The 14610-nt window shown below is 39.3% G+C and overlaps 1 long non-coding RNA gene across 2 annotated transcripts in view; it reads left to right on the forward strand.

Annotated features, from left to right (window-relative positions):
• The window catches only part of POT1-AS1 (POT1 antisense RNA 1), a 215362-nt gene that overhangs the window by 5997 nt on the left and 194755 nt on the right, over positions 1-14610 (forward strand). For both annotated transcript variants that reach the window (NR_125718.1, NR_125719.1), the window contains exon 2: positions 4411-4516. This is a non-coding gene — a long non-coding RNA (POT1 antisense RNA 1). The remainder of the gene's footprint in view (positions 1-4410; positions 4517-14610) is intronic.

The following is a 14610-nucleotide window of genomic DNA, read 5'->3' on the forward strand; positions in this document are numbered from 1 at the left end:
ATCTGAAATGATATTCATAAAATGTTCACACTGGTTATTGTTGAATGAATAATTTAAATGACTAGCTGCTTTTTTTTTAATTAAAGGTTTTTTTCACTACTTTTATCACTTAGCCACATGACTAAAAATAACTAAACCAAAAGTTTTTTGAAAGACTCGTATTTAAGCATCCTCTAGTGGTAAAATTATCTGATAACCATATATACAACATTTTGCATGTTTATGCAGTTCACGCTCCACTAACAGCTGCCTTCCAAACACAGAAGTCTGTATATGTAGCCATGTTGATATTATGCACTTGATCCTGTTCCATCCTGACTATAGGCTGCACTGAGATAATCACCTGATCACTTGACTCCTGAGGCAGCCAATCTATTACCTGGATGGAGCCAGTTAGAATCTGTCTCTTAAGAACCCAGTAAATTGGGCCAGGCACAATGGCTCACACCTGTAATGCCAGAACTTTGGGAGGCCGAGGTGGGTGGATCACGAGGTCAAGAGATCAAGACCATCCTGGCCAACACGGTGAAACCCCTGTCTCTACTAAAAATACAAAAATTAGCTGGGCGTGGTGGTGCATGCCTGTAGTCCCAGTTACTCAAGAGGCTGAGGCAGAAGAATCGCTTGAAGCTGGGAGGCGGAGGTTGCAGTGAGCCGAGATGGCACCACTGCAATCCAGCCTGGCGGCAGAGTGAGACTCCATCTCAAAAAAATAAAATAAAAAAGAATCCAGTAAATGACTTTGGTCATTTGTGTACAAGTGAGTTGGCCTTGACACTTGATTTGCGAGGGCAAATAGGAGTTTAGGGTGACCATTGTCCATAACAGCATGAAGAGGCAGAAAAAAACAAACTGCAAAGAAGGATGAATCAGATATATACAGAGAAGCAAAACCAGACACCATGCAACCCCAGAGAAAAAGACGGAGTAGTTTGCTGGGTTCTTAGTATCTTTAGTATATTTGACATAGTTCTTCAAAAGGAGTTCAGTGTTCCTCAAAAGGAGTTAAAACTCTAGCTGCCATGTGATACTTACGAATTCCACCAGTATTTATTGGTTTTTGTTAAATTTCTGTTACTTGCAACCAATAGCATTTTAACAGATAACACTCAGGAATTTCTATTGGCTTTCTTCTTAAAATGTGTACAGAATCAGACCGATGCATATCACCTCCACCACTACCACTGTGATCCAAGTCACCATACCCTCTGGACTGGATTTCTGCAATAGCATCCTAGAGGGTCCCCCTGATTCCTTACTCTTCACTTCCTGCCCACACACAATTATTGCTCCATTCTCATCAAGAACAGCAGGTCAGATCATTTGCTCCTCTGCTCAGAACACTACAAGGGTTCTGCAGGACTGTCAGGGTCAAAGTCAAAGTCCTTTAAGTGATCTAATCCCTCTGCTATCCTTCTGAATTTACCCCTTATGTTCACTCACTTGAGACAGACTGGCTTCCTTGCTCTTTTTCTGGAGTCTTAGAGTGGAATGCTAGAATACTCTTCCCTTACTAATTCCCCCAGTTACGTCAGGAATTTTCCTCAAATATAACCTTGTCAAAGCAGCCAAACTGACCACTGTATTTAAATTTGCACACACATCCCTCCAGAGTTTTGCTACCCTTTTCTTTTTCCCTAGAGCACTAGTCATCTTCTAACATACTGTAAAACTGACCCTTTTAATTGTGTTCCACACTAAAAGGTAAGCTCCACAGTAGTAGGGATTTCAGCCTGTTTTGTTCGTTTTGCAGGCAGTAAATACTTGAGTAATGAATGGTTAAGACACCATGCCTAATGATTCACTAACCAGTTCTCTCTCCAGTGGTCCACAGGCCAATGGAGAACACATTTCATTAACTTCAATATAGCAACGCTTGGAAATCATCGGTAGGATTGCTATGAAGAAAGACTGATTTTGGATCGACACCAGTGAGGTTGTCTATGATGATGAAAAGCAGGCAAATTTCTTATTTATGCCAGAAAAGTAGAGAAGCTACATTATAAACATGAGCATTATAAATCTTTATTCCATGAATAACACGGAGAGTCTGTATGGCCTACCAGTGGTTCAAAGACCATATTTCGTAAATTACAAGTAAAATGAAAAAACTTTGAGTGTAATGTAATGTCATACATTAGTCAAGATTCAAATTTTGTAAGTTTACATAGGCTAATAAAGGCAAGTGATTTTTAAATTAGATAGTTTCTAATTAGAATGTTTAAGCAAGAGGTCTATCTCCAGCACTCTTTGGAGATTAAGATCCCTCATGCCATCTTTTCTCTCAGCAACAGAGGATATTTTTTAATCAGGTTGGGTTACTTTTAAGCTCCCTTCTCACTACATCTGATAGGGTAATGACTTAGAGTGAATGAAAACAAATACGATGAAAAGTACTGTCTGAGAAATGCTGAGACAAGCCATGCACTAAGGGAAAAATGAATGACTGGAAAGAACATAAAAGCCTCAAAGTCAAATTAGCATAACAGAGGATCGAAGTATATGCAGCAAGGCACAGACTAAGCAAGGAGAGGCAAAATTTTCATAGGGGAGAGAAATGGGTCATTTTCTAATTTTGAGCCATGCCATGTGGCACCTAGGTGACTCAGTGTGTAAAAGGCACAAGGTTAAAATAGACTATCTCAACAGAGATAAGTTTTGGTTAAATTACACGAAAGATATTTATTGAATTTTTTTTAAAAAACTGCATTTGGGAAAATTATTTTGAGTGATAATTCTGAGTGTTTATTCAGAAACATATTCTTTGACAAATCTGCTTATAGTAACAGCCAAGACCCTCCAGGTTCCTATGTGTGAGAAGAACTATGTTGCCTAACAAATGATTGGTTCTTCAGGTTTCTCTGTAAAGATGGGGAAGCAAGAGAAAAAGAAAATAAACTGAACCAGAAAAACCAAGAGAGTATGTATGTTTCCCAGAAGAGATGCCACTCTTTGATGCCTATGCTGTATGCACATTCAATCCAAAGAAAAAATCTTTAGAAAAGTTGTCGAGCTCACAGAATGCTTAAGAATGAGTGAAATTTTTGAGAAAACCAGTGAGGAGCTTGGTTTATGTCAGATTGCTGCGTTTCTAATTGAGGCAGCACACACAAAAGGCACATGAAGGAAAAGAAAAAGAAAAAAATTGCTGGAAATTAATAGACAGAAAGTAGACTAGTCAAAGAGGATCTTTCAACTCCTTTACACTGTGGAAGTAGGGGTTTATGTCTTGAATTTAATGTCCCCTTCATTTACATATCTTACATTTTATATCACGAAGATATGTCCTGGGAAAATCTGTAATAATGCCCATGTCTACAGCCTCTTTTCTATGTAATCTTAGATTTTTAAAAAAGCATTGATAGTTAATTTGTTTTGAAAATAATGGACCAGCTCTAAGCTGGAGAGCACAGAAGCAGACAGCAATTTGTTAGCCTGATATTTTTCTTTGTCTTCCTCTTGTTTTTTGAATGATCAAAAATTGGCACAATTTTAGAAACTTTATAATGAATAGTTTTAAATAATAGTAAGCTAATTAAGAGTTTGCATGTTTTTTAGATTCATTATGCTTATTTGAAGTAATTGAGAACCATTTGTTTTAGGGTGAAAATGCACTTTTAACACAGAAAGACATTTTGTAACTTTGTCCGAACCTTCTTATTAATTTAAATTAAATTTGCCTCTATTCATTACATTCATACACTTCTATGGGAAATGGGAAAGTCAATATGTAGTCTCCTTGATGAAAATTGTGGATAGCTTATTTATTTTTCACTTATGTGCAATAATATTGAGACATTCTATAGCTAAATGTGAGTTTACCTTTCCTCCCCACAATTTGCCCATCAAAGACTATGTATTGTTAGAAGGATAAGTTTACAGCTACTGTATTAATAAGATAATAAAATCTCATTTGTGTTGTCCCTCTTACCTAATTCTCAATAGTAAAAAATTACTCCAAGATATCTTTTCTATGATTAGAGCAGAATAGAAGTGATTACTATACAATCACATTTGAAAAACTTCAGTTTAATTAGGATATATTCAACCCAGAACTTGGCGTCAGAGTCTGGCACAGCCAAAGGAACAGAACAGATGGAGAAAAAGAAATACTTTGGTACTCTTACTTATTTTCACATGAGGATGGTGTAAACCAGTCCTAAGTATAGAGGTATGTTTGCTTAATAGACTCTTGTAAGTCTATTAGACTGAAAGGAAATATTAAAAAAGAAATGTATTCCTTTTTTCTTGTTATTTATATCTGACCATCAATAATTTTCTGCCACTTCTAGATAATCTGCTAATTCTATCCATATTATACATCCAAATACTAATGATATTAATCTTGATCAGTCTCCTCCTTAATTTCCCTCATAGTAAAAATGCTTCTTTTCTTTCCATTTCGGCCAGATACCCTTTATATCAAACCGTCTATCCTGGAGCAGAAAAATCCTGTCTTCATTGCTATAGCTACAGATTCAGAAATGAGCATGTAACAAATTCAGGCCAAAGAGAGGTAAGGAAATACTTTTTCTGGAATTTCTAAGACTTTTTTTTTTCTTTCTCTCTGGAGAAATATGGGAAATCAGCCTCTCCTCTTCCTGATGCTGTGTGAGGAAATGTGTAATCCGATTATTACTGGCAGCCATTCCACAACCAAAAGGGAGCCCAACTTAAAATGAAACCAATCCTGTGGTTGACTGAACAGAATGTCACGTAAATTAAAAAAATAAAATAAAATAAAATATGCAACTTTCATGGTAGTGTTAAGCCCTTATATGAACTAACCCTGAAATCTCATGTGTCTCTTAATTTCTACTTACAGGAACTAGAAAATTTCCTTATTATTTTAAGTCAGTTTGAGTTTTTGGTTTTCTGTTACTGGCAGTAAAATAACAGTCTCCTTTCAGTCAAACATCAGGAAATTCACAGGCATATGACATCTAAAATCACCAATAATCTTTGCATTTAGTAAAAACTGGTACCAGGTGGAAGAATACAGTAAATAAATGTATAGCACCTAAGTGTTCTGTACTTAACTTCTCATCCTTCCACTATCCAACAACAGCTTGACATTCCTTTGGTAAATCACTCCCTTTCCACTCTTAGTGCAGTTTATATGCTTATGACTTCCCAATTTTATATCTTCAGTTCTAGATGTATACACCCCAAATTTGTATTTTTCATAAATTCCAGACTTGTGTTTTCAACTGTGTATTAACTATTTCCACTTGATGTCTAGAAGATATGTCCAACTCTCAATCTTCCTACAGACTTGTTGAGTTGCTTTGACCAAAATGCTGATAGTGGTATGGACAATAAAGTCCAGGCTGAGGTGGTCACAGATGGAGATGATGAACTGGAGTAAAGGTCACTCGCTATGCAAAGAGACTGGTAGCATTTTGTCCCTGCCCTAGAGATCTGTGGAACTTTGAACTTGAGAGAGATGATTTAGGGTATCTGGCAAAAGAAATTGTAACCGCCCAAGGAGTTCACCTTGCCCACGGCCTAGACAGAGCTGATTCATCAAGACAGGAATCGCAATAGAGAAAGAGTAATTCACGCAGAGCCGGCTGTGTGGGAGACTGGAGTTTTACTATTACTCAAATCAGTCTCCCTGAGCATTCAGGGGGCACAGTTTTTAAGGATAACTTGGTGGGTGGCGGGGAAGCCAGTGAGCCAGGAGTGCTCATTGGTCAGAGATGAAATCATAGGGAGTAGAAGCTGTCTTCTTGCACTGAGTCAGTTCCTGAGTGGGGGCCACAAGATCAAAGGAGCCAGTTTATCTATCTGGGTGGTGCCAGCAGATCCATCAAGTGCAGGGTCTGCAAAATATCTCAAGCACTGATCTTAGGAGCAGTTTAGGGAGGGTCAGAATGTTATAACCTCCAGTTGCATGACTCCTTTTTTTTTTTTTTTTTGAGATGGAGTCTCGCTCTGTCACCCAGGCTGGAGTGCAGTGGTGCGATCTCAGCTCACTGCAACCTCCACCTCCTGGGTTCAAACGATTATCCTGCCTTAGCCTCCCACACAGCTGGGACTACAGGCGTGTACCATCATGCCCAGCTAATAATTTGTTTGTATTTTTAGTAGAGATGGGGTTTCATAATATTGGCCAAGTTGGTCTCGAATTCCTGACCTTGTGATCCACCCACCTCAGCCTCCCGAAGTGCTGGGATTACAGGCGTGAGCGACTTCGCTTGTTCAACTCCTAAACCATAATTTCTAATCCTGTGGCTAAAGTTAGTGTAGTCACCAGGCAAGAAGGAGGTCTGCTTTGGGAAAGGGCTATTACCATCTTTGTTTAAACTAAAAACAACAAACTAAGTTTCTCCCAAAGTTAGTTCAGCCTATGCCCAGGAATAAACAAAGACAGCTTGGAGGTTAGAACAAGATGGAATCGGTTAAGTTAGATCTCTTTCACTGTTTCAGTCATAATTTTACAAAGGCGGTGTAAAAATTCCTAAGCATCAAACACTCAAGAGGTGACAGAGCATAAAAGTTTGGAAAATTTGCAGCCTGACTATGCAGTAGAAAAGAAAATCCTATTTTTTGGGAAGAAATTCAAGTGGGCTGCGGAAATTTTCATAAGTAATAAGGAGCCAAATGCTAATCACCAAGACAATAGGGAAAATGTCTCCAAGGCATGTCAGAGACTTTCCTGGCAGCCCCTCCCATCACAGACCCAGAGGCCTAGTAGGAAAAAATAGTTTCCTGGGCTGTGCGCAGGGCCCCCCTGCTGTATGCAGCCTGGGGACTTGGCATCCTGCTTCCCATCCACTCCAGTCATGGCTAAAAGGAGCCAACGTACAGCTCAGGCCATTGCTTCAGAGGGTGCAAGCCCCAAACCTTGGTAGCTCCAACGTGGTTTTGAACCTACAGGTTCACAGAAGTCAAGAATTGAGGTTTGGGAACCTCTACCTAGATTTCAGAGGATGTATGGAAATACCTAGAGGTCCAGGAAGAAGTTTGCTACAGGGGCAGAATCCTCATGGATAACCTCCACCAGGGCAGTATGGAAGGGAAATGTGGGGTCAGAGCCCCCACACAGAGTCTCCACCGGGGTACTGCCTAGTAGAGGTGTGAAAAGGGCCACCATCCTCCAGACCCCAGAATGGTAGATCCACCAACAGCTTGCACTGTGCTATAGGCACTCAATGCCATAGGTACTTGCACAGCCATGTGCACTAAATGCCAGCCTGTGAAAGCAGCCTGCAGGGGGGCTGTACTCTGCAAAGCCACAGGGACAGAGCTGCCCAAGGGCATAGGAGCCCACCTCTTGGATCAGCGTGACCTGGATGTGAGACATGGAGTCAAAGGAGATAATTTTAGAACTTTAAGATTTGACTGCCCCACTGGATTTTGCACTTGCATGGGGCCTGTATCCCCTTTGCTTTGGCCAATTTTTCCCATTTGGAATGGGTGTATTTACCTGATGTCTATACCACCATTATATTTAAGAAGTAACTAATTCACTTTTGATTTTACAAGCTTATAGGTGGAAGGGACTTGCCTTGTCTCAGATGAGACTTTGGAATGTGGCTTTTGAGTTAATGCTGGAATAAGTTAAGACTTTGGGGGATGGTTGGGAAGGCATGATTGGTTTTGAAAACTTGTCTTATCTCAGATGAGACTTTAAACTGTTGACTTTTGGGTTAATGCTGGAATGAATTAAGACTTTGGGGGACTGTTGGGAAGGCATGATTATGTTTCGAAGTGTGAGGACATGAGATTTGGGAGGGGCCAGAGTGGAATGTTATGGTTTGGCTGTGTTCCCACCCAAATCTCATCTGGAATTGTAATGGGAGGAACCCAGTGGGAGGTTACTGAATCAGGAGGGCAGTTCCCCCATGGTGTTCTCATGATAGTCATTTCTCACAAGAGCTGATGGTTTTATAAGCATCTGACATTTTCCCCACTGGCATTCATTCTCTCTTCTGCTGCCCCGTGAAGAGGTGTCTTCCACCATGATTGTAAGTTTCCTGAGGCCTCCTTAGCCATGCAGAACTCAATCAATAAAACCTCTTTTCCTTATAATTTACTCAGTCTCAGGTATTTCTTCATTGCACCATGAGAACAGACTAATACACTGTATATTTCCAGTTTATTTATTTTTACCATTTATAATTGTGACTAGAAGGTAAGTTTCATTTTGACAGAGATTTTATTACAGACTATATCCCTATCACTTAGGAAAGTGTCACAGGGTATAGACACTCTCCTAAGTGATAGGGATATAGTCTGTAATATTAATTGATTGAGTGAATAAATATTTTGATGGGTAACCCCACTCCCCATCCTCATGATCATAGGCATTCATTTGCTGCAAGCCTGGTCAGTTAACAAATTCCATTACCCCAGCCACACTAATTAATGTTTAGAAACAATCACATAGCCAATTACTTTGGTAACTATAGGGAATTTTGCTGTAATAACTGGAAAAACAGAAGCTCTCCTTACATTGGGCTTTCCAAACACTAAGATATTGTAAGATCGTAAGTAAGTTCAACTTTGATAAACATAGAGCTTGCTGAGAATAAAATCCCTTAAAACAAAAGTAGAGCTAAGAAGTAGTAAAGGGAAAAGTTGGAGAAAAGAGGCTGAGGAATATAAGAATGAAGGGATATGCACAAGTGTCCAAAGGCAGTGTTACAACCGCACCCCCCACCAATCTGTTGGAATCCGGTTATCTACTTTTAGACTTTCCAGTTATAAGAGTCAATCCATTTTTACTTATGAAAATTTGATGAGTTTCTTTCACTTGAAATAATTAATGCAAGTTCTTATTGTCCATGAGCCAAAAATAGATCTTATCTACATTATGTGAACCCTGCTATTGAAACTATTGCCATCTCTTTTTCTTTACTAGTGAAATTAATCTTTCCATTTTGAGACTTGATGCCGTCTATGCCAACATCTATGTCAATATGTCAGCTGTAGGACCACTTATATCAATAGCAAGGAGAGCTAGCAGATTATAGATCTCAGAAGGAGAAAGTCATATAGAGAGCACGGCTTTGAGCAGGTGTGTGGCCTTCAATATACTGATATAGCCAGCCTCAGGAAACCCTACACATCTATACTCCCTCAGTAACACTGTCAACGTTCCTCACTGGCCAAGGCCAATCAAAAGCCAGAGGGCATCTTTCCTTTCCTGCCCCACCAGCGCATTTGTGCATGAAAGCTGGCCTCCCACTGCTGCCAGCAAAGTGTACTCTACCAGCCCCAACATCTTACTGTCATTGTAGTTGGAGCCTTGGTGGGCCGTATGCCCACCAGCTCTGCTGCCACCAGTGCCCTGCCACTGTGCCAACACTGCCACTGCAGTGAAATTACGCATGGAGGACAGCAAACCCTCCCTACCTTCAGTGGCCACCTCCACCTGTGTGAATGCACAGAGGGTGCACACAGTCCTCTGCCCACCAACACCCCACCCCACATGCTAAAACTATCACCAGTGTGACTGCTCACAGTCACCAGCAGGGCACCCACTTTCCTCAAGCTGTGCTGCCTCCGCTGCTGCTGCAAACACCTGCAGGAGGGCTGGCACCCTGGCACTTGCTGGCACTCTACTGCAGTGGATGATTGTGCATCCTGCCACACTGCCACTGTTGCTGCTGTGGGCACATGTGAATGAGGATGGATCCTGCTGCCATCACCCTGTGAAACACTTTGGCTGGCACCACCTATTGGAGTGCTATGAACAGTGGTTTCAGAGCAACTCAACCTCCATAGTGCAGTGGGTTCCTAACCTCAAGGAGCCAGAGAACAAAGTCAGGGCCCGATACCAGTCCCCCAGAGTTAGGGCACACAATCTAGGAATTGTGAGTTGAGCATTGGCCCCATAAAATCTTCCAGAAATAAAGCCAGTTGACTGAACCTACCTTATACCACAATCAAACCCTCAAGGTCATCAAATAGGATAAAAGAAAAAAAAATCCAAACGACAGCAACTTTAAAGACTGAAGGAACATCAGCGCACACAGATGAGAATCAACCAGTGCAAAAATGCTGACAATTTAAAAACCTAGAGTGCTTTCTTTCCTTCAAACAATGGCACTAGCTCTCTAGCAAGGGTTTTGAATTGGGCTGAAATGGCTAAAATGACAGAAATAGAATTCAGAAAATGGATAGGAACATGGATCATGGCAATGCAGGAGTATATTGAAACCCAATCCAAAGAAGCTAAGAATCACAATAAAATGATACGGAAACTGACGGACAAAATTGCCAGTATAAAAAAGGAATGTAACTAATCAGAGCTGAAAAACATACTACAAGAATTTCATAATGCAATCACAGTAATAATGGCAGAATAGACCAAGTGGAGGAAAGACTCTCAGAGCTTTAGGACTGGTTTTCTAAAATAAGACAGTCATACGAGAATGGACAAACAAAATGAAAAGGAATGAATAAAACCTCTGAAAAATATGGGATTATGCAAACAGACCAAATCTATGACTCATTGGTGTCCTTGAAAGAGATGGGGAGAATGGAAGCAACATGGAAAACACATTTCAGGAAATTATCCCTGAGACCTTTCCCAACCTAGCTAGAGACCAGCATGCAAATTCAGGATATGCAGAGAACATCAGTAAAATACTTCACAAGAAAATCATCTCTCAGCCACATGGCCATCAGATTCTCCAAGGCTGAGATGAAAGAAAAAATGTTACAGGTAGCTAGAGAGAAAGGTCAAGCCACCTACAACGGGAAGCCCATCAGACTAGCAGTAGACTTCTCAGCAGAAATCCTACAAGCCAGAAGAGATTGAGGGCCAATATTCAGCATTCTTAAAGGAAAGGAAATTTCAACAAAGAATTTCATATCCAGCCAAAATAAGCTTCTTAGGCAAATGAGAAATAAGATTTTTTCCAGACAAGCAAACGCCAAGGGAATTTGTTACCACTAGATTGGCCTTACAAGAGTTCCTGAATAAACCACTAAATATGGAAAGAAAAGACCATTACCAGCCACTACAAAAACACACTTAAGTACGCAGACCAGTGACACTATAAAGCAACCACACAAACAAGTCTGCACAACAGTAAGCTAACATCATGATGACAGGATCAAATTCACACATATCAATACTAACCTTGAATGTACATGGGCTAAATGCCCCCAGTTAAAAAGCAGAGTAGCAAACCAGACAGAGAACCAAGAACCAATGGTTTTCTGTCTTCAAGAGACCCATCTCACATGCAGTGAAACCCATAGACTCATAAGGAATGCAGAAGAATCTACCAAGCAAATGGAAAACAGAAAAAAGCAGGAGGTGCAATCCTAATTTCCAAAACAAAGCAAAGCAAACAAACAAAAAAACCTTAAATCATCAAAGACCAAAAGAGACATAGAAGGAGATTACACAATGGTAAAACATTCAATTCAACAAGAAGACCAAACTATCTCTAATATATATGCACCCAACACAGGAGCATCTAGATTTATAGATCAAGTTCTTGGAAACCTACAAAGAGACTTAGACTCCCACACAATAATAGTGGGAGACTTCAACACCCCACTGACAGTATTAGACAGATCATTGAGGCAGAAAATTAACAAAGAAAGTCAAGACATGAACTCAACACTGGATCAAATGGATCTGATAGACATCTACAGAACTCTTCATCCAAACACAACAGGATATACATTCTTCTCATTGCCACATGGCACATACTCTAACATCAACCACAGTTAAGACATGAAACAATGCTTACCAAATGCAAAAGGATTGAAATCATGACAACCACTCTCTCAGACCATGGCACAATAAAATTAGAAATCTAGACTAAGAAAATCATTCAAAACCACAAAATTACATGGAAATTAAATAATCTGCTCCTGAATGACTTTTGTGTAAATAATGAAATAAAGGCAGAAATCAAGAAGTTATTTAAAACTAATGAGAACAAGGATATGACATACCAGAATCTCTGGGACACAGCTAAGGCAATATTAAGAGGAAAATTTATAGCACTAAACACCCACATCAACAAGTTAGAAAGATTTTAATTTAGCAACCTAACAAAACAACTAAGAAAACTAGAGAACAAGAGCAAACCAACCACAAAACTAGCAGAAGACAAGAAATAACCAAAATCAGAGCTGAACTGAAGGAGATTGAAACATGAAAAACCATTCAAAAGATCAATGAATTCAGGAGTTGGTTATTTGAAATAGTTAATAAGATAGATAGACTGCTAGCTAGAATAATAAAGAGAAAAAGAGAAAATCCAAATAAACACAATTAGAAATGACAAAGGGTATATTACAACTGATGCCACACAAGTACAAATACCTATCAGAAAATATTATGAGGAGCTTTATGCACACAAACTAGAAAATCTAGAAGAAAGGAGTAAATTCCTGGAGACACACACTCTTCCAAGACTGAACAAGGAAGAAATCGAATCTTTGTATAGACCAATAACAAGTTCTGAAATTGAATCAGTAATAAATAGCCTACAAACCAAAAAGAGCCCAGGACCAGGCAGATTCACAGCTGAATTCTATCAGATGTATGAGGGAGAGCTGGTACCATTCCTACAGAAACTATTCCAAAACATTGCGGAGGAGGAACTCCTCCCTAACTCATTATCTGAGGCCAGCATCATCCTGATACCGAAACCTGGCAGAGATACAAGAAAAAAAGAAAACTTCAGGCCAATATCCTGGATGAATATCAATGCAAAAATCTTCACAAAAATACTGGCAAACTGTATCCAGCAGTGCATCAAAAAGCTTATTCACCATGGTCAAGTAAGCTTTACCCCTGGGATATAAGGTTGGTTTGACATATGCACATCAATAAATGTGATTCATCACATAAACAGAACTAGAGACAAAAATCACATAATTATCTTAAGAGATGCAAAAAAACTGCTTTTGACAAATTTTAACACCCTTTATGTTAAAAACTCTCAATAAACTAGATATTGAAGGAGCAAACCTCAAAATAAGAATAATCATCTATTCTATACAAACCCACAGATAACATCATACTGAATGGCAAAAGCTGGAAGCATTCCCCGTGAAAACTGGCACAAGACAAGGATTCCCTCTCTCACCACTCCTGTTCACCATGGTAATGGAAGTCCTGGCCAGAGCAATCAGGCAAGAGAAAGAAATAAAAGGCATTGAAATAGAAAGAGAGGAAATCAAACTATCTTTGTTTGCAGACAACGTGATTCTATATGTAGAAAACCTAAGAGTCTTGGCCCAAAACCTCCTTAAACTGATTAATAACTTCAGCAACATCTCAGGATACAAAACCAACGTACAAAAATCACTAGAATTCCTGTACACCAACAACAGCCAAGCTAAGAGCCAAATCAGGAATGCAATCCCATTCACAATGGCCACAAAAACAATAAAACACCTAGGAATACAGCTAACCAGGGAGGTGAAAGATCTTTACAACGAGAACTAGAAAACACTGTTCAAAGAAATCAGAGATGCCACAAATTAATGGAAAAATATTCCATGCTTATACATAAGAAGAATCAATACCGTTAAAATGGCCATACTGCCCAAAACAATTTACAGATTCAATGCTATGCCTATCAAACTACCAATGACATTCTTTACAGAACTAGAAAAAACTATTTTAAAATTCTTATGGAACCAAAAAGCGCCTGAATATCTAAGGCAATCCTAAGCAAAAAGAATAAAGCTGGAGGCATCAAACTACCAGACTTCAAATTATACTATGGGACTACAATATCCAAATCAGCATAGTACGGGTACAAAAACAGACAGATAAAACAAAGGAACAGAATAGAAAGCCCAGAAATAAAACTGCACACCTACAACTGTCTGATCTTTGACAAGGCTGACAAAAACAAGTAATGAAGAAAGGACTCTCTATTCGATAAATGGTGCTGGGATAACTGGCTGGCCATATGCAGAAGATTGGAACCGGACACCTTGCTTACACCATATACAAAAATCAACTGAAGATGAATCAAAGACTTAAATGTAAAACTCAAAACTATAAAAATCCTGGGAGACAACCTAGGCAATACCATTCTGGACATAGGAACAGGCAAAGAATTCATGATGAAGACACCAAAAGCAATTGCAACAAAAGCAAAAATTGACAAATGGAATCTAAACTAAAGAGGTTCTGCACAGCAAAAGAAACTATCAACAGAGTAAACACACAACCTACAGAATGGGAGATTTTTGCTAACTGTGCATCTGATAAAGGTCTAATATCCAGCATCTATAAGGAACTTAAACAGATTTACAAGAATAAAACAAACAACCCAATTAAAATGTGGGTGAAGAACATAAACAGATACTTTTCAAAAGAAGATATATATGCAGCCAATAAGCATATGAAAGAAAGCTCAATGTCACTGATCATTAGAGAAATGCAAATCAAAACCACAATGAGATACCATCTCACACTAGTCAGAATGGCTATTATTAAAAAGTCAAAAAATAATGGATGCTGGCTACGTTGTGGAGAAAAAGGGATGCTTATACACTGTTGGTGGGAGTGTAAAGTAGTTCAATCATTGTGTAAAGTACTGTGGCTATTTCTCAAAGACCTAAAAGCAGAACTACCATTTGACCCAGCAATCCCATTACTGGGTGTATACC

Source organism: Homo sapiens, chromosome 7 (assembly GCF_000001405.40).
Source record: "Homo sapiens chromosome 7, GRCh38.p14 Primary Assembly".
Taxonomy (NCBI): domain Eukaryota; kingdom Metazoa; phylum Chordata; class Mammalia; order Primates; family Hominidae; genus Homo; species Homo sapiens.